Here is a 21,895-nt window from a genome sequence, read left to right on the forward strand (position 1 = left end):
CAAAGGTTTATAATTTGTGAGAAGTATATATTTGGCATCATGGATTTCTGAAGTATAAAAGAGAAGTGCTTGAAATAATGCAGAAGAAAATGAAGAAATCAGTTATAATTCCTCCTTGACTAATGAAGGGATTAATCTTCATACTTTTTCCAGAAACTGACATAAATTCCTCCTTCACTGAATGATTTGTTTTGGTCTAAAGAAAGATATTAATAAACAAAATTTGTATTTTTACAAAAGAGAAGCACAAATGAAAAAAATTGTGGAAGTCAAAACTATTGCTTATGATACATAACAAATATCAGCAACTTTTAGGAAATTTGTAATTTTCAATAAATAGCCATAGTAGATAGTTTTATAATTTTATTAGTCTCTTTTATTAATGTTCATAGTTTGCAGCTAATCTGGTTATATATTCTTTAATCCATAACTCTAAATTTCATGTACATAAGCAATAGTATCAAAAGGCAAAAAATCACACTTAGAAGTAATCAGGCAGTAAATCTACATAATAAAAAAGAATGATTTTGACAATCATTATAAGCTATATCTTCTTTGATTAGAACATATATGTTCACAGTAGACTACTCATGAAATTTATTGCAAAAAGATAATTCCGTTGTATTAGAATAGAAATAGAAAGCAGGAGAAAGGGGGCTAAAAGTGCCTGCACCAGTCAATCAAAATAAGTGCCCAGAGACACTGCAGAATTTTTTCATGCATTTTTTCTCAGTAAACTATTTTAAAGATTATTTACAAACATGAAAGTGTTTTCCTTTTAAATGCCTTAATTTGTGAAAGAGGAATTATGTAAATTATTTTACAACATGAAGTAGTTTCTTTGAATTAGAAACTTTTGGTTGGAAGAAATTGAAAAAAGCATCCAATTACCTATTTGATGCATCAATCCCAACTTTGCCTCTCCTGATCTTTCTGATTCCTTTCTTCTGAATATATTCCAGCTTGTTTTTATCTCAAAATATGGCACCCAGAACTTAATCCAATGCTCCAGGTGCAAATTGGCAAATATAGAGAAGATATGGACTCATCTTCTTCTATTTTATTTCCTCCCTTCTTTCCCATCTTCCTACCATTCTTCCTTTGGCAAATACTCACTGAAAGAGCCTCATCTATGTCCGGCACTGTATTAGAGGCTGGAGATAAAAACGAACAAAAGACAACATGTCCCTACTTCCTTAGAGCTTATTGTTTAGTGGAGGATACTGAGAGGTATCAAGTAATCACACAAATAGATGTAAAATTGCACCCATGACAAGTCCTAATAAAAAGTATACAGTCTTATGAAAACCTGTTATAGGAAGATTTGAACTAATCAGGAGATCAAAATGGCTTCTTTCTTGAGCAGAAGCTGAAGGAAAGGTAGACTTGATAGGTTAAGAAGAGAAAGAAGTGTGTCAGGACATGTGCAGTGGGAGTCACAGGAGAAAACCTGATGAAAGTTTGAGGGATGGAAGGAAGTCCAGTATGAATGGAGCAAAGAACCATGGAGTCTGCAGGAGGTGAGGTGAGCCAGAGAGGTAGAAGGCGCCAGAATGTGCAGGATCGTCAAAATCATGTTTTATCATTAGCCTAACACAACAAATGGAAAAACTATTGAGGAACTTTAAATAGGAAAGAGACAAGTTTTTAATTTTTAAATATTACTATGAAGAGTGGATCAGGATTGAAGAGACACCAGAGCATATGCACACAGATTAGTAAAAAGGCTATTGCAGGAGCTTGGGTAAGAGATAATGGCAGGATCGTTGGTGGAGCCAGCAGGGAGAGAATGCATTTGATAAATATTTAGGAGGGAAATTGATAAGACTTGGTAATGGATCAGCTAAGGTGGGAGAAGAGTGGACAGGGGTGAGGAAGGATTGCTGGACTTTTGGTTTCTGTCTCATGTGACTGGATAGGTGGTGTGCCATTCCCTGAGGTGGGAAACATTGAAGAGGGCCAGATTTGGAAAGAAAAATTCTGAGTGCAGGTTTGTATGAAGAGTCATTGAAAAGTCCATGAGAAAATATCAATTAGGAAGTTGGATTATGTGTGTGGAGTGCAGAAGAACATTTAAGGTAGTGATATAAATTTCCGAGTCTTCTCGCATATAGATGGTAATCCAAATCACATGAAAAAAAAAATGAAAAGAGGAAAGGCCAGAAGACTGAACCAAAAGAAACTCAACAATTAATAGTCCTTTGGAAGAGGACACAAAGAAAGGCAGAGAAAGGAGCAGCTAGCAGGACAGGAGGAAAACCTGGAGGATGCTGGGCCACAGAAGCAAAAGGAATTGAATGTTTCTATTAGGAAAGGGGGCTTGTAGTTAAATATTGCTGAGAAGTCAAGGATAGAAAGCATCTTTCTAGTTGATCCATGTAAATTTACTGCCAACTAAAATCCTTAAACATATTTCAGAAGTAAACAAACAACTTCAAGATCTTAATGGCTTGATAGAATCAAGACTTATTCTTGCTCACATCCCAGTCTGATGAGATTTAAGTTGTTCACTTCAAAGAGGTGACTGAGGAATCACACTGCTTTAAACTTGTGGCTTCACCATCTCACCACTTCACAGTCTCCTGGTATCATCCTGCTGGCAGAAAGGAGGAAGAGAACATGGAGAAAGGCACACCTGATCTTTAACCACCTCATCTCAGAAGTGACACATGTCACTTCCACTCACATTCCACTGTCAGAACCAGTGAATGGCAAACTTAACTGCAAGAGAGCCTGGAAAATATAAAAGAGCAAACACATACCAGCGAGCATTTATAATCTCCATATATCCCTGCTCTGCCTTTGTGTAGTCGAAGTCTGGAGCCCAGGTAAAGGATCTGGAATATACAACCAATAGGTCTCTCAGTGTTAGATTCAGCTGATCCATTTCAGCCTACAAGACCTTTGCTCTGCTTGCTAGCTGAAGTGACAAGCAGATCAAGTGAAAATAGGCTTGGCTGAGTTTGAGATGTCATTCTCACCAGTGCTTACACATGGACCTACCTTTGTAGTCTGGCATAGTGAAGGGTTCTAGCTTCAAGCCAATTATAATTCAAATAATCTAGCTCACTCTTTTTGCTTTTGTCATATATTTCTTGACTTCCTATAAATTGATTCCACACATACAAAATTTATGTCAGTTGAAATAAGAAGACTGCTCCACCTTTATCATTCTCATTATAAATTAATAATATTGGTAATCTGATCTAAACATTACACTTATCAGTAGGATTATACTTAGTCTGTCTTTGGGAGACCTATACTTTCAGACGTGCCAGCCATCTGGTGTTTCTGGACATAAGAGCTGACGATCAGGCCAAGGCCCCTGTAAGGGGCTGTTAAGTGTCCAGCTGACCTCCCCAAAGGCTATCCTTGTTCTTTAACTACAATGCTTTCCAATCATTGTCTCTCTATCAGTCTACTTGACACTGTTGGCAAATGTTTTCTTGAAGTTTGGACATACCATGTCTACTAAATTCCTGTAATCTAAGAGTTTGTGACATATACATTTAGAGCAGCTAAATGCTTCCTTACAACCTTTTTATTCTTCTTTGGCCTCAACTGCCTTTTTCTAATCTGTCTACTCTTTGCTCACATTTCCCAAGAGCCTTGTGGTTAGGCGAGGCCAATTGACTATTTTCATCCAATGAAACATGAGTGGAAGTGAAATGTGAGACTTCTGTGCTAAGGCATTTTTTAAGAATTGATATGCCACTTTCATGTCCTCTCTTCTGCCAAAAAAAAAAAAAATACCTGAGGTACAGACCCACCTTGGACATGTAATGTTATTGTGTCATTTTATTGCCATAGTTTAGCCAAGCCTATCCTGACTGGTAATACTGTTGCTTGGAAAGTTTCTCTCCCAAGGTAACAGTTTTCTCACACTACATAACATAAAAACTTGAAATAGTCTACATTTTTTTTATGAACAATAGTATACAATGTGACAGTTTAGCCAAATGCAGATTCTGGAGTCAGAATGCTGGTATTTGAATCCTGGCAACACCATTTATTAGCTATGTGATGTTGGGCAAGTTAATGACCTTCCTAAAATTTGTAAAACAAGAATGAGAATAGCACCTTTCTCTTAAAGTAGTTGTGAGGATCAAATGAGTTTAAAATGTTTAGAGTGAAGCCTGATACGTATGGTAAGCATTTGGTAAGTGTTTGCTATCATTACTGTGTGTAATAGGACCTTCATGAATATGGCTATGATTAAAGTGTGAAGCATTTTGATAATCTGATATAAGTGAGTGTTTTTGTTGCAAATAACATATATTTTAAAATTGTGTCCATGAATGCTTAATTTTATTTACCCCAAAGAAAAATAGTAGACCTAATCATGAAGCAGGTTATAAATAATTTCAAAGATAGATTCCCTCTTCCAATATGGATAATGAGCAGCTGTTCCACATCTGCCATCCTGTTTGGAGGTATATATGTGTTCAGCGACTGCACACAATAAACAGTTTTCAGTTTTTTCTCTGATTCTTATCTTTGCTAGACAATATTATGGGCAGAGTCTATTGAGCTTGTGCATACATTTCAAATATGTATGATTCCATTGTGACTTTAAAAGTTGACTTGATTTATAATTTAATTTCTATTTTTTTCAAGGGATGCACAGCTAGTAACCAGCATCTTGTCAGTAAGATTTTAATGTTCAATTTTGTATTTCCTTTATGAAATGATTAATGAGAAAATGTATAAAAGTTGGGATTTAATCATCCTGAATATGAATATGTGAATGCCTTTACCTCTAGGGGTGGAGTAGGGTGGCCATGACTTCTGTGAAGGCTTCCATTCTAAGAATGGAGAAGCGTTATTAAAAAATATAAATGTGCAGTTTTTTTTTTTCCCATGGAAAAGGGCTAAGACTTCATGTAATTTAGTTCTCTGAATAGCCAAAAATGGTCTCTGCCAGTTTTTACCATCCAACACTACAAGGCTATTTTTCATAAAGTAAACATTCAGCAACAGTTTTCCCAGATGGGATCACACAGCTATCACTCTGTCCTCTCCACACATGGCAAAGAGCTCCATGAAGAATCGACCTTCACATCCAGTGTGGAAAGCAGGTGGGGCATGAATGTGCAAAACCTCTCCCATAGGCCTAGTGACCAGGATAGTATGTCCTGCAAATGGAAAGCAGTGGCAGGAAAGGGAAAAAGACAATTCAGATAACAATGATGAGCAGCAGAATTTTTGGTTGGTTTTCTCCCAAGATTAGTATTCAGAAACTACCTCATTCCTACATGTCTATCGTGCTTGGAAATGTGAGGATAATACTAGCCAGCTGCTGTCTACAAATCTTGGCTCTTGGATGTCAAAAACCTCTCCAACTTCACTTTTGCAAACTCACCAACTTACCATAAAAAATAACTTTTGCCCTCACTGTGTTTTTCATGTTCAAAAGATTCCCAAAAGTGGATCTACAAAATTATATGCATTTAAAAAATTCATCCTTTTTGCTTTTGCTTTCCTTTTTGTAAAGTGTTGAGCTCATTTTAACAAGTATTTTGTGATATGTATTTTCGGCTCGTTCCAAGCCCCGAAAACTAAAAAATAGTTACTGAAGCCTAGGTTATACTAAACAAATTTTTCTATAAAATTGTCTATCATGAGATTAAACTATTTTGCAAAATTAAGTAATCAAAGATAAGAATCTGCAACATACATTTATTTATGTGCCTGATTCTTTCTTTTATATCTCTGATAGGACTCAAGGATATATGTTGACAGAGTTTGTTCTCCCTAGAGAGAGCTGTACACCAGAATTATCCATAGGCTTAAATGTGTGTGTTGGGACCTGGGGAAAAACAAGATACGTTCATTTAGTACCTTCTATGTATAGTCACTATGGTTTATCTATGTAATCGTATTTAATACCCTCAACTAATTACCAAAATAGCTATAAGTATTCTCCTCTTACAGATGAGGAAATCAACACTTAGAAAGCTGAAGTAACTTCCTGAAGTTTGTGTTCAGTTTGGTGTGAATAAAAGCCTAAAAACTTTTTTACTGCTCCACACTCTAAGCCTTTTACCATTTCATTTTATTCTTTTAGACACTGCAGCTACATGAAGTTACCAGAATATTTATAATACAAGTATAGTACAATAATCTAACTACTTTAATTAGGGTAGAGAGTACTAAAAAGTGCAATGGGTTCATGGGGTATAGGGAGGAATGCCTAAACTCTGCATCAGAGTTTTCCAATCTGAGATGCGATAGTCTGGGAAACAAATTCTAGAATGAGATAGCCTTTGGACAACACTCCTGCTCTGCCATTTACTTCTCAGCTTGCAAATTTAGGCAAAGGACTTTATCAATTTAACTTTCAGTTATATCAGTGCAATAAGCACAATAAAACAAAGTTAAATGAAGTAAAAAGGGTTGATATTCAAAATATATGAAGACTGGGGCAGAACAAGGCACCCAATGATCAGAACCAGCTAAAATCACCAGCATAGTCCTACATATGTGTATAGGAACCACTTTACTCACTGCCCACAGGCGCCCTCCTACTGCTGATAGCAGTGTGTAAAGTCAGAGGTGCAGCTGATACTGAGATAGATTACTTTCTAGGAATGCAGTGATTGCATCCTAAAGCATTTGAGAGGAGACATAGTTGAAAGATACGTTAATCTACTTTGACACTATCAATTTCCAAATGGTAAGTTTAACATAGTCACAAAGTGAATGTCTTCACATTTTCTGGTATAACTTAGGTAAGACTTGCATTTGGGGTGACTCTTGTTCAATTAGACACAGGATGAAGAATCTTCACAGGGCCAAATGAGATCCAGTGATTTGTCGATGAAGATTTAATTATGGTAGAGAAAAGGAACTTACGTATTTGTGCATTCCCCAAGCAGTATAAAAGACTTCATCCTTATTCTGACTGAGTGAGAGTCACCCAAAATAAGCACGTGAGCCTCATTCTTATAACCCAATCTCACATGCTTTTGTGAAAGAATTCTGCGTCAGACAGTGGGAGGGCTCAGTTTATCAGGGTGGACCACTGGAACCAGGCTGGCTACCAGGCCTTGGGATGACTGATATGAGTTTTAGAGCTTCCCAAGGCATCTGGTCAATACCACACAAGGAGTAGAGGTCAGAGAGTACCCTAAAGAAAAGAAACAAGAACCAGGGCCTATATGGTTCTAATTAGGGCTTGGAGTACTCTGTCTGGGTGGCATTGCCAGCCCTGGTTAATCCCAAGCCCCACAGAAGGCCTTATAACTATATTAGCCTTAGCCAGGTATGGTGGCACTTGCCTGTGGTCCCAGCTACTCAGGAGGCTGAGGCAGGAGAATTGCTTGAACCTGGGAGGCAGAGGTTGCAGTGAGCCAAGATCACGCCACTGCACTTCAGCCTGGGAGACAGAGCAAGACTCCATCTCAAGAAAAGAAAAAAAGAAAAGAAAAGAAATTATGTTAGACAGGGTTTTCTAGAGAAACAGAACCAATAGGATAGATAGATAGATAGATAGATAGATAGATAGATAGATAGATAGATAGAAAGATAGATAGATAGATAGATAGATAGATAGATAGATAGAATAAGATAATATAATATGGCAATTGGCTCACCTGATTATTGAGGCCAAGAAGTTCCATGATGTGCCATCTGCAAGCCAAAGAACCAGGAAAGCATGATTTTGCCTTTGTTCAAGGGCCTGATAACCAGAGGAACCAATGGTATAACTCTCAGTTTGAAGTTAAAGGCCTGAGAACTGGGGGAGTGCTGATGTCCAAAAGCAGAAGAAGATGGATATCTCAGCTCCAGAAGAGAGAATTAATTTGCTATTCCTCAACCATTTTGTTCTACCTGGGCCCTCAATGGATTGGATGATGCCTGCCCACATTGGTGAGGGTGGATTTTCTTTACTCAGTCTGCTGATTCAAATGCTAATGTCTTCCAGAAACACCCTCATAGACATACCCAGAAATTAGGTTTTACTGGGCATCCCCTAACCCAGTCAAGTTGACACATAAAAAGTAACCACCACAGAAATTGTTAAAGTAGGCATTCCCAAAGTACAAGACCCCTTGAGTTTGGGGCTTTGTGTAAGAGCCTCATGTGCCTGGATCTAAGAGCACATATAAATGGTGTGCCTAAAAATTAACAAAAAAAACCCCAGTATACTTATTGCAGCACTATCATAATAACAAAGATGTGGAATCAGCCTAAGTGTCAATCACTAAATGATTGGATAAAGAAAAGGTAGTATCTATACACAATGGAATACTATTTAGCCATAAAAAAGAACTATATCATGTCTTTTGCAGCAATGTGGCTGAAACTGGAGGCCATTATCTTAAGTGAAACAATTCAGAAACAGAAAGCCAAATGCTACATATTCTCACTTGTAAGTGGGAGCGAAATAAGGTGTACACGTAAACATAGAGTGTGGAATAATAGACATTGGAGAACTAGAAGGGTGGAAGAGAGGATAGTGATGAGTCATTACTTACTGGATACAGTGTATGTTATTTGGGTGATGGATACACTAAAAGCCAAGACTTCACCAATATATGCATGTAACAATTGCATTCATATCCCTTAAATTTATACAAAACAACAAAAAAGTAAGAACTAAGTGCATTTGGCTATTATTATCATCACCATCATGATCCTATCAATATTGTATTTTCCATTGGAAATGTGTTTCAACAATAAAAGAAGTGAGATGCTAAAGCAAAAAGTATTAAAAAACAGTTCAGAGTTTGAATTAAAGATGATGGGTTGAACCTATTAATTTGTCTCCATTCCTTCTCACTAAAACAAATGCAAGAGGATTTTTAAAAAATCATAACTCAACAGGATTAATAGAACTGGTGAGGAGCCAACAAAAACAAAATACTGGAAGCTATAATGCAGATGGATGAATGGTTAATCACTTAGGAGACTTAAAAAAAAATGGAATCCCAAGTCAAGGAGTGGGAAACTCTGAGAAGCAATCCAATTTCTACTGTCCTTAGGAATTAGGGGCAACTACTTCTGGAACTAGGATGGACTGAAAACACAAGGACTGGTTGGATATTAGACTCCCAGACCTCCTCCCGACTCCAGAAACATCACTGTTCAACATTTCAATCAACTTGCTCTCCACTCCCAACAGAAAACTGAGTTATTTCTGGAGAGCTGGTCTTTGGACTAGAGAACACGTGGCATCATGAAGTAAAAGTATACAACTAAACAATGAAACACAGTCCCCACTACTAGCACTACCACTAACTCAGCTTTTGTGTCCCATTTAATTCTCAGAATTCTGAGCTTTCCAGGCAGGGTTTTGGAAGAATATTTTCTGGGGGATGTAACCAGACTGAGAGAAATCCCCTAAAGGCATGACTGGCAGAGTTTTCTAGGTGTCTCCCAATATCTAATTTTCCCTTCTTCCATAATAATATAATTTTTTATTAAGCATATGGCTATATGCATATTGTAAAAAAAAATGGACAAATTTCCCAACCTCCCTTGCCATGAGATGTGGCCAATATTTCTAGCCAATGGGATGTAAGCAAATGCTGTATGTATAACTTCAAAAGGTGGGATATATATATCCTTCCTTCCTTCTTCTTATTAGCTAGAATGTAGACATGATGCCAAGGCTTCTTGGAACACAGAATGCACAGAAACATCCTAGAGACTGTGGAGCAGCAAGACAGAAGATGTCTGAATCCTGGACACTCTATAGCACTCTACTAACCCAGATTTACATTGAATGGAAATAAGTGTCTTTCTTGTTTAAGCTTCTCTTCTTTCAATTCTCTGTTACCCAAAACTGAACACACATTTTAACCAGTACAATAATGTAAGATGTCTCCCACATGAAACAGCATAGCCTAATAACTGTACAAAGAGGCATATAGTTGAAGAACTCTGGCCAAGCACATGGAATTAACAAACAGCTTTTCAGCACCTCACTCTTAAAGTTAAGAAGTCAACCAAGAATTACCAAAAATCTGAGGGATTCTTGAACTATCATAAGGACAGAGACCACACCAACTGTAATGATAACAACAGAAAAGAGTATCTTTTATAAAAGAGATAACAGCAAGAAAGCAACTTGGAGAAAATAGAAACTATGCAAGAAAAAAAATCCAAGAATTATTAAATCTTTAAATAAATAAGATAAAATATTGAGTCTGTGAAACAAGATAAAGACACCATAAAAATAGAACTGAGAAAATTATTGGTTTTAAAAAGCTATATAAATTTTTGTGGAGGAGGGTTGTTCATTTTTTTCCTTTTTTAAAAAACAAAAACAAACAAGCAAACAAAAATGATTTTAGTCTGGGCATGGTGGATCACGCCTGTAATCCCAGCACTTTGGGAGGCCGAGGCGGGTGGAGCACGAGGTCAGGAGTTCGAGACCAGTCTGGCCAACATGGTGAAACCCTGTCTATACTAAAAATACAAAAATTAGCTGGGCATGGTGGCGGGTACGTGTAATCCCAGCTACTCAGAAGGTTGAGGTAGGAGAATTGTTTGAACCTGGCAGGCGGAGATTGCAGTGAGCTGACATCGCACCGTTGCACTCCAGCCTGAACAACAAGAGCAAAACTCCATCTCAATATATATATATATATATATATAAATTTTGTGAGTTGTTAAAGGTTAAAAATATGCTTACAGAAATGAAAAATTCAGAGAGGATTAGAGAATAAAATTGAAAAATATCTTCCATAAAGTAGAGAAAAACACAAATTAATGATAAATAAGAGAAAAATATTTTTAAAAATAATTAATTCAAGAATTCCAACATCCAAATAATAGGGATTATAAAAACAGAGAACAGACAAAACTAAGGGTGGAAAGTCTTCAAATAAATAATTTCTTAAAATTTCCCAGAATTGAAGTACGTAAGTTGCCGATTCAAGCCCATTTTGTACTCAATGCAATAAATCAAAATAGACTCATATCAATCCATATCACTGAGAAATTTCAGAACACTAGAGAAGAAAACAGACCCTAAGAATGTACACTGAAGGGAAAAAAAAGATAACACAAAGTTCAGGAGTCAGAAATTCACCAGACTTCTCAACAATAGCAATGAACGCTTGAAGTAATGAAGTCCTATCTCCAAAATTCTGATGCAAAATTATTTCCAATATAAAATTCTACACAAAGTAAAATGATTTATCCCGTGTGAGAGTAGAATGAAAATGTTTTATGTCATTTACTAAATAAAAACTTAATTTCCCACATGCTCAGGAAGTTAACAAAAAGTGTCTTTTACCCAGGAAAATACACCAAGAAAGAGAAAGACCTAGATCCAGAAAAAGAGAGTCAACTCAAAAGTTGTGAAAATAAACCTTAGGGTCGTGGTTGTCTTAGGTCAAGTATCCTAGAAGCAGAGACTGAATTAGGAATTCATGTGCTTGTTATTTACAGAGGGATCACTTTCAGCAGAGAGAGAGAGAGAGACAGTGGGGAGCAGAATAGGAAAGGGGAAGGAAGCAAGCAAAGATGTCAACTCAGCTGGAGGGTATCTCAGCCTGGTCCCACAGGGAGCTTTGGGGCATAAATTGCACCACAGAGATGGTACCACCTAGAGGCAAGGAGACCCAACTTTTGTATTTTTGTGTCAATCCACCATTGACTGTGGAGAGGTCCCAGTGAGAAAGGTGTAACCTTCTGGTTGAGGTTACTCTCATTGGGCTGAAAGTCATTCCTGAAGAAGAGGGCATCTTTGAGGCATTAGCGTTCACATCAGTGGGAGGGCATGTGCCCCAACCCTATAAGGGGATCTGGGCAGGGTACCAAGAGAGGACACTTCAACAGTGAGAAACCAGAGTACAAGTGTGCAACAGGCATTGAGGGCAAAAAAAAAAAAGATATTCAGACAGAGCAGGTCTGAAGACTCTGGAAAAGGTATTTCAGGAAAATAAAACTGCAGGAATGCTTAATGTGTTTGAACATATTAAGAAGAGATCCATATGACTGAGAGAGAGTTTGTGTATAAATTAGTGACAGGTACATAGAGAACTTTGCAAACATAAAACAATAAAATAATTCCAGGGAAAATAAAAAGTTGTACTGAAAGAGAAATTAATCAAAGGATACTATATGGTTCAACCATGAATAGCATTTTAAGTGGTCATGATATTGAGCAACTGAATACTAATCTAATCAAACGTATTAAAAAAAAAAACTCTACTAGGAGGATAGGGCATTGGAAGTGGGGGCAGTAGAGTGAAACAGTCCTATAGGATTGCCCACTAGTGAGCCAGCACTTCTCTTCTCTGGTTGCCTGGCAACAAGTCAATGGGACCAGCGCTCCTCTCCCTACAGGGTCTATCAGAACTGGTTTGCCACTCCCCTAGGCAGCTGGTATCAAGCTGCAAGGTGTTGGTCTCCACTGGCAACACCACTTTTATGTATGTAAAAGCCCTATTGTCACATTGCCTGCCTTCCCCAACCCCATATGCAAAGAAAGCAACAGAGACTACAGAGGCATTCCTCTCCTAGAGTACAAACCTGGCCCAAGTACACCTCTCTATGTGATGCCGAGGGTCTGCAGGCTGGGGTCTCCATGTATTCTGCCCGTTCTTTTGCCTGTGAGTTCTAGCCTGCACTGCTTGAGGCTTGTGACACTGTCTGAGCCCTTCTCCAAATACTTTCATTGTCGGAAGTCAATATATAGTGCCTAAAACAAAAAAAAAGGGAGTGTAAGCAATTGTTTAAGGCTACTTAGAGGCATTGAAATAAATGACAACAGAATCAATCAGTGCCTTGGGGAAGAAGGAAATGAGAAACTGGGGTGAAGGATTGCTATTTTTCATAACACATATTGTAGAACTATTGTGTATACAAAACCTTCATAAAGATAGAAACATGTTTTCAAAGAGGTTAAGCAAGTTGCTTTACTGTCGTACTTCTCAAATATTTAGTTAAGTAGAAAAATTCTAATGGTGGAATAGTGTAATCAGCATTCCCCAATCTTATTTGATTCTAGAATCTTTAAAAAATTTATTTCTTAAAACAATTACTTATTAATATCCACAAAGGCAGAAATGTTGCCATTTGGTAAATCATCCCTGTATACTAAAGTACACAACTTTATAGAAAGCAGAAAATACCAAGGTCTATAGGAAGACATCATCTAGCACTTGCTGTGTGCCCACCTGCTCTTGTCCTGGGCATTGTGCTAGAGGTCATAGTGTGTGCTTGCTCATTTAATCAGCTTCTGATCATATCTGATGCTTTAATTTTGAGTCAGCCTCACAGCTCACTCATTCAAGAGAAATTCAGTGAGTGCCTACTATGTGTCAGGCACTTCTAGGGGAAATTACACAAAATACATGTGGTCCCTGACCTCACCAGAGAGATTCCACAGTACTGAAGAAGAAAAGGAGAATGGATACATACATATTCAGACAATCCATCACCGTGGATCATTTTGCATTTCATTTACGCAATCCATTTTTGTAGGCTCTAAAGTAACTTTTACATTGCTTTCAGCTGCTGCATGATTTGCTATATGCCAGCCCAGCCCAGGTAGGTTAGAGCCAAACACTATTCCCTTAATTCAAGATGCATGTCCATTTGCATCCTACATTCAGGGCTTCAAGGGTAGAGGGCTTCTACAACTTAAGCTGTAGTCTCCTTCTTTAGTTCTCTGAAGTATAGAAACCACTGCTATACAGTAACGTGACTGAGTTGATTGTACCATGAAAGCTCTCAAAAGTAACAGTGAGATATCTTCAGGACATTTCAGCTTCAGCTTTTCCCAGTGATGGCCCTGAGTCCTGCTTTCCTTAGACTTTGGTAATAGATTAAGACATAAACTCAGATTTTACTGAACTCCTGAAATGTACTGAAAGGCAAGGACTCAAATTATAAAAACATCAAAATTCCTTTTTCTTTGTTAGATAAAGTTTGCTCAATTATTTTACCTACAAAAGTCATATTTGTTTATTTAAGCACATTTTTAAAAATTTTGGAAATACAGTTAAAATAATCAGCTATAGTCCCTCATCTAAAAATATCCATTTTTATGCATTTTCTTGCAAGATTAAAAAAAAGCCATTTCCATATAGATACTTGTCTTAATTTCTAACAAATTAAGAGAACAATGGCCATGTGGGAAGCCACTGGTGGAAAAGCTGCAGGTACACACTGGGTCAGTTTTCCAGGCCATGACTTACAGTGCACTTGATTTCCAGGGAGCAATGCATGCCTCACCACTGTGTTGTTAGAGGCTATGGACCACTTTATGACTGTGAGCATCTTCCTTTTGGATATAAGTACTAGAGAGAAACAAATCATTAGAGAGAGAGAGAAGTGAGTTTTGATTGTTAAAACACACGAAAGACATAGACTGCTGGAACTGTGCTTTGCTGCATAAAGAGCTGCTCTATCCCAAGAGTTAATAGAGTGCAGGGGCAGAGGCACGCCTAGGACATCAGCTGTCTGTCAGGTGGGGGAAGGGTGCAGAGCTATATGGATTCCTCAGCTGGAGGTCACTAGGCGCCCTTCATATGCTACAGGAGAAGAACGTTTAGCAATTGAAAACAGCTATGCTGGAAAACATGCCTTTCAATATAGTTCTTTGGCTTTTCTCCTTTGTTTAACGCTTCTAACATGTCATTTAATGTATTGATTTTCTTATTCAAAGTACATGTTAAGCATGTTCATCACAATCTGTGTTCATTTCTTCTTGGCTAAAATAACTCACCATATTTTTAAAATAATAAATGAAGGTGATGTTTTGGGTTTTTTTTTTCACTTTTCACATTTGAAATATTATAAATGGCTTGTGCCTTTTTCTAGGTTACATTTTAAAATAATCACAGATAGCCAGGGTTGGGAATAAAATTATTATTCTCGGAACTGCTTTACCATTTTAAAAATATCAGCACCAACTTTAATTCGACTACTTGCTAAACAATTATAGTTTATACTATCATTATAGCTCTAGTTATAATATCATTCAGTTAAATCTTAGTCCTCCAACAGGCATCACTATACCTATACTTCATATAAAGGTGGTAAGAAAGCCAAGACTGAGAAAGGACAAATAATTTTACCTTGATTGCCATAGAAGGATACTTAGGAAAGTCTCTTTTGGGATACTATGCAGGGGGCCCTAAAACAAATGTCTCTTTGTTATAAAACTTATTTATTTGGTCATTGAACTCCGCCTTAAATTAGATGAAGCCAGCAGGCCTTAAATATAATCCAGCTAATGTAACTGGATTACAATGCAGCAATTTGAAATAGTCATTAATGCCATGCTTAAAATATGAGTGGCTTCCATCAACATAATATAAAAGGATTACCTCTTCCTCAGTGGTCCAGTTCCAGAACACATGGCCGTATTTCCTACACCAATTTGACACCATAAACAAAAAAGACCCAAAGGCCATGTCTCCAGTGAAGCTCAAGACAACAGGACAAACACTGGGACAGTGCTGCTATTACCGCATATACCAAGAGCTGCTGGCAAAAGTGATGTTCTTCTACTATCCTGATGAGGCAACAGTTTCCACAGGGACCCACAGGTTGCTGGAACAATGCTGACACCTCTTTTCTAAGGGAAGTGGATTGAGTCCTTCTTAGGTAGAATTGCCAGTTAAAATACAGGACACCCAAATATTTCATACGACATTCTTATACTAAAAAATTATTCATTCTTTATCTAAAATTCAAATGTAAATGGGTGTCCTATATTTTTCTTTGCTAAATATGGCAATCTTATTCCTGTGGTAGGGATAAATTACTTCCCTTTTGGGGTAGAAATCCTCCATTTTTCTCTTTGCTTAATTTAGGGAAAATAGGAAGGGATATAAAAATTTTGCTTACAAGTCTGTGTTCTCCTCGTGAAGACCCACTTATTTAGAGGAAAAATAACTTAGAAAAATAGAGTTTAGTCAAACTGGTCCGGAAGTCTAAGAACTCAAAGTGATTGCATAGTCTGAAGTCTGAGAGTTACATATTCCCAGCATCTACTCTTATCCATAAAATCTAATAATAAATAAATCAGCATAATTGGTCATGCAAATGGGAATTAGAAAGGTTCCATGTTTGCCTTGATTTTACTATTGGAAAATAACTTCTCCACGCTTCCATTTTATCTTCAGGGATTTGAATAAGGGAAGATGGATAACAGTCTAAGATGGAGTTGGGTTTTAAAAAAATCAGACCATTGTGGGGCACCTCAAAAGTGGGTAGTCTTTAACTAAATATGTAATATTATTCATATTGTAAATGTTCTTTAAAAAAAGCATTACCTTTTTAGGGTCAGGCATATTTATAAATAGGTATAAACGTTAGTTTTTACATAATCTGAATTGAAGAATGCTGGGAAACTCCTCTTATGTCAAATTATTTCCTCTCCCTAAATGCTACAGTGCTTAAAAGATCAGCATCCAATATTCATTTTATCAGTTTCTTTAAATCTCCAGGAAGGTATTATTACAGCACTAATACTTTTAAGTAAATGATTTTATAGGGATACTGGAGTTCAGACAGCAGAAACATAATTAATCTTAATTCAGGTCACCAGATAGTGCAAAAAAGGACAAGAAGGTAGTGGTGGGAGGTGAGGATCATACCCAAGAGAAATAACAGTTGCCCCATAAATGTGCCTGCAGTGGTCCTTACTCATGCTCTTTATTCCACTCCCAAATGTGTCACACTTTTAGTTGAAGAGACAGTCATTTTTGTTTAACCATTCCCATTTTCTCCTGCTCTCTGAGTACAATCCATTCACTCTTGGCCCTACTCTTGTCCAGTGTAGGCTGCCAAACTGGCTCAATTCAGATAACATAGGAGGGTTCAGAGGAGCTTTCCCTATTCACCACTAACTTGCTGTGTGACTCCAGGCAAATTGCTTAACATCTCTGGACCTTGGTTTCAGCATCATACAATGTTGAAGTGTCATTAGATGGTCTGTCAGTCTTACCAAGAAAGGAAAGAGAAAAACTTACATCACTGAAATCTTGTAATTGGTTCAGCAGGGGAAATATATTATCCCACCCACCATTGCTTGACCCCTTACTAGCCATATGTTCTGGGGAAATTTACTTCATCTCTCTTTGCCTTTGTTTTTGTTTTATCTGCAAGCAGGGAAAAATAATGCCTACTAGACTATGATGTCATGATAATAAAAGGAGTTAAATCAGTTGACATGTAAAAGATGCTTAATGCATTTTATCTATTATCATAACTAATAATAGCTATTACTTTCTCCAAGAATTATTTTTCTTTCAAAGAAAAAAATTAGTTATGTCAACAACCCTGAGATAGTGTTGGCTCTAGAGTGAGTTAGTTATAACTGGCATTTCAAGAAGATGTAATTATCTTTGTTTCCAATTAATACTTTTCTTTTTTTTTTTTTTTTTTGAGACAGAGTCTCGATCAGTCGCCCAGGCTGGAGTGCAGTGGCGCGATCTCTGCTCACTGCAAGCTCCGCCTCCCGGGTTCACGCCATTCTCCTGCCTCAGCCTCCCGAGTAACTGGGACTACAGGCGCCAGCCACCACGCCCGGCTAATTTTTTGTATTTTTAGTAGAGACGGGGTTTCACCGTGTTAGCCAGGATGGTCTCGATCTCCTGACCTCGTGATCCACCTGCCTCGGCCTCCCAAAGTGCTGGGATTACAGGCGTGAGCCACTGCACCCGGCCCCGATTAATACTTTTCAATAAGAACTTTGTTTTTAGGAAGAATTTTTAAAAAGTAAAAATTCATATTATCATAACCAACTGCTCAGAACAAAGACTTTTTTTACATATAAGGAATTCAACAAACCAGAAAAAATAATCTTGATTTCTGCTCCCAAGTAATCCCCATATTTTAATACCTAGGTATAACACAGTCATACTATTGAGCAAAATACAAAGGAAAATCACACATTTAATTTTGAAATGACAAATTAAAGTTGTTACCTTCCTAGACCGACATAATAAAAACACATCATTACTTAATGGAGTAGACTGTAGATAGATTGTAAATATCTGAGACTTAAACAAAGATTTCAACCATATTTCATTCTTTTCTTCTTTCAATTTAAGAAGTCTACTGTCTGCTGAGGAGTACTTTTCTCTCTCTGGTTGCATTTATTTCCACCACCACATTCCTGGTGCTGCTCCTGAATTTATCACTTACCCAAACAATTTTTGTTAACCTAAGTTTCACCAGTAGTATATTAAAACATTAAATATTTTTCTTAACAGAGAATGAAGAAATCATTTATGGTACAAAATGCTTTGTGTTGTCATGAATTTTCATTTGTCTGGCATCTATCTGATTGTTGCAACTGCACTATTTCATGTTATCATCTTTTTTCTTTTCTTTTTGGAATGTAGAAAATGTTAGCCCTGGAAGTGGTTAATGTGACGAAAAGCACATTAGAATAAAAAAAAAAATCCACCTCAATCCAAAGGGATGGCATTAAGTGGAATCCAGTGTATCATGGAGCACCTAATGCACACAAGATGTGGAGCATGTCCCCTGGTCGGAACTTTTAAATACTAAGTAGCAGTGAATGGGAGAAATAAATCAAATGGGAGGATAGCTGGAATAATAAACAGTGAAGATGCTTCATACTCACACTCCAGCAAAGCAAGATGAAAAAGTGATCATGGCTGTCGTGAGCTATTACTGAATGAAGAACTTCGTTTTAGCTCTTCTAACTTGAAAAATGGAAAAAAAGAAAGAAAGAAATGAAAAGAAAAAGAAAGAATGCTGGAGGCAAATAGCTTTTTTTTCCTTGAGTCTCTCAAACTCATTGTCAGTAAAACAAACTGCTATGTATCATCTGTTTAGTGACAGAAAATATATATATTGAGATCAAAGATAATCAAGGTACACCTGGTTATTATTTGTAAAGACTTAACTGTAAGTTTTTAATGATTAATTTATCTGCCACATAACGCTTTAATAGATCATGTGAAACATCAAGGGAGGAATGTGGTACTGCATTTCTAAAGCCTCCTTCTCTGTCTCTGAATGATAATAGGCATGGGAGTCATCATTAGTCTTGTTAGACGATGGTTCCTTTAGGAATCTCTACGTGTTACCTTTTAGAGGGAAGGTCAAAGAAGCCACCCCTGGGGACTCCCCTGCAGGATACAACTAACACAAGCATAAACTGTATGGAAATGGCTAAATTGTCTTTACTGAGACCTTAGTCTTTCGCATCAATCAAGTCCTTCTGAACTAGTAAAACAGATAAGCACCCTGCTGGCAAAAGTGTTACTATCCTTATGCTTGTCATGACTGGCACTACAAATTTAACAATAAACAGGCAGTTATTTGTCTTCCTTCTTTAAAAAAACAAAATAAGTGTGCCGAAAGACATACAGTTGCAAGGAAAACTCATTTTAATGGCGAACAGAAAGACGAAAAAATTGCTAAGTGGATTCAGTGTCACTCTCTTTCAGTCCTTCCTCAAAAGACCCTGTATCCAGGATCCAATTGTAACTGCTATCATGCACATGGAGAAGGTAATATGAATCTGACAAGCCAAAACAAAGCAAACCGGGACCCCATGGCTGCCATGTGGGAGGGGGCAGATTTATCCACCCTCACGTCTCAGCTTCCTGAGTGTGGAGCCTGTGTCAATGCCTCATCCTGACACCTAACTCATGGGGGAATTATAAGTCATCAATACCAATGACTGTAAAACACTTTGTAAATAAAAATGGCTTAGAAGTTCCAATTAACAACAGAAAGTAACCCTCTGGGATGTACTAGAGAGAAATAACTACAGCCATAAATAAGCAATGGTGAATTTAGGTTCACTTCTTATTTCAATGCCATTAAAAATGGATCTCCTTCCAATCTCCAATCTGAAGACTCAGCCATGATATTTTTTCTCATTTACACTATACAAAGTCATGCGCATGAGTGGAAGCATTGAGGAAATACAGGATTGGGCATTCCCTACTATTTTAATATGAGTATTACAAGCATACATACTCTTATCTACCTTCATGTCAAACAGAAACAAAAACAACAACAAAACAACCAGAAGTAGTATAACTTAACTTAGCTAACTGTATGGCCACCACAGATGTGCGGTAAACAGGGAGCATAGCAGGCCCAAGAAGTGGCTATAGTGCACACCCTTAGTGTACTTCATGCTTGCCCCATTTAGAACCTTCACAGGCTCACACGATGGATTATCAATCTGACTCAGGAAGTATCCACTGAGCCTGTAGCACAATGTCCCAGGCACTGTGCTAATCACTGCCAATATATCTCACTTATACCTGTGAGGAAAAGAGGCTTGGGAAGCAATTTGATATGACCAAATTATAATTAAATTAATAGCCATATAATACTTACTAAATGTCATGAATTATTCTAAATGCATTATAGAAAAATCAACCCATTATTACTCAGAATAGCCCTATGAAGCAAGTACTACTGTTATCCACATTTTAAGATAAAGAAACCCAGAGAGATTGAATAACTTGCCCAAGGTCACAGAGAACTGAGACTTGAACCTGGGCAGTTGGACTCCAGAGTCCATGCTTTCAACCACTTCTCAACCTGGAAAAAGAGCCCAAGTTTTTGGTTCCACACTTAGTGTCTAGGGTCTCTGCTTGATTTTAAAAATTAAAAAATAAATAAATCTGGTAAGACACAGCAGCTTATCCTTCAGGTCCTCATGTGCCTGTGCAATGACAGACAGGCAAACAACTATAGGGTGATAGAAGTCACAGGAATGTGCAGAATAGTCAGGAAATGTAAATAAGGGAGCATTTAGCTCAGACTGGGGCCTTCAAAGAAATCTTAGAAGAAGATAATGAATTGTGGTTTCCATTTCCTTAGAAAATCTAGTTATATGTGCCTCTATTTTTTGGCAGGCATTCTTGCAACCTTTGGCCTAAGTATGCACAGCATGTCCATAGGAATAATTTCAAATATAATATGAAAAAAAAATTAGCACCACCCTTAGCTTCTATTAAGTCTATTGTAAGATCAGGGTCCATAGTAGCAAAACTCATGCTGCCATAGCTTGACCAGAAACCAGGGGACAGTTCAGGGTACTCAGCTGCCCCTCTGAAAAGATGTTAGCCATGAGGCATCTATAGAGCATCTTTAGCTGCCTAGTGAGTTTGGCTGACTCTCCAATCACCACAGAGGTCCCGATGGGCAGAGGTTCTGACTATCCTGCCCAGAAGAAGCATGAGGGGGAGAGCAGCAGTTGTTCTACCCAGCAGGGACTATCTCTACAGCAAACATCACCTCCAAATCAGAGCTCCCAACCTTGCAGAAAGACCCCCACTTACAGGAAGACAACTCAGTGGGGAGAAGGTGTTTGGGGAAGATGAATTGTGGGAGGAGGAAGGGAGAAGGGATTGGCCGACGCAGGCAGCGTCCTCAGCTTCTGTTTGGCCCTTGATTTCTCTCTGTAGAGGAGATTGACCTCCAGGAAAAACAGACCTCCCTTCCCCCTCCACCCCTTCAGCATAGCAGTGATGCCTGCACAGGTCCTGTCCCGGCCATACACCTACCAAGAATACACCAAAGCCATTAAACATACCGATCTTTAGTGACTAAAAGGCTGCCATCTTTTTAGCCTTTTAAAATATATGGCACATGTATACAATGAAAAGCAATGATGTTATAGATTTATTGACATGGAAATATGTTCACTATGTATGGAGTGAAAATAAATAGGTTATGAGAAATAAATACCAAATCCAGTTTTGTAAATGGTTATATACATATAAAAAGGCTAGAAAAATATGCATCAGGATATTTACAATGAAGGGATTATTACAAGTATTTTTTCTTCCTTGTGCTATCTGTCTTCTTTATGAAGACTATGTATTATTTATTTGTTTATTTACTTTTTTGAAAGAGCTATTTTAGTTTTTCCTTGGGAAGAGGGAGATTTTTATTTCTTATTTTTTATTTTTTGGAGATG

General features: G+C 37.6%; 1 long non-coding RNA gene across 1 annotated transcript, besides 1 other annotated feature; it reads right to left on the bottom strand.

The window, feature by feature from the left end:
- Positions 1 to 350: 350 nt before the first annotated feature.
- LOC105377911 (uncharacterized) lies at positions 351 to 14,257 on the bottom strand. Its single transcript, XR_001743887.2, has 5 exons — positions 14,160 to 14,257; positions 12,490 to 12,658; positions 7,596 to 7,632; positions 2,763 to 2,837; positions 351 to 2,593 (listed from the first exon to the last, which is right to left on the bottom strand). It is a non-coding gene; the product is annotated as an uncharacterized LOC105377911 (long non-coding RNA).
- Positions 19,258 to 19,868: an enhancer, noted in NCBI's record as "OCT4-NANOG-H3K27ac hESC enhancer chr6:100615925-100616535 (GRCh37/hg19 assembly coordinates)". NCBI's record gives its function as "activates a minimal SCP1, AML or CMV promoter by ChIP-STARR-seq in primed H9 embryonic stem cells {active_cell/tissue: H9 hESC(primed)}" and the evidence as "EXISTENCE:reporter gene assay evidence [ECO:0000049][PMID:30033119]".

The sequence above is a fragment of the Homo sapiens genome, chromosome 6 (genome assembly GCF_000001405.40).
Source record: "Homo sapiens chromosome 6, GRCh38.p14 Primary Assembly".
NCBI classification, from domain to species: Eukaryota; Metazoa; Chordata; class Mammalia; order Primates; family Hominidae; genus Homo; species Homo sapiens.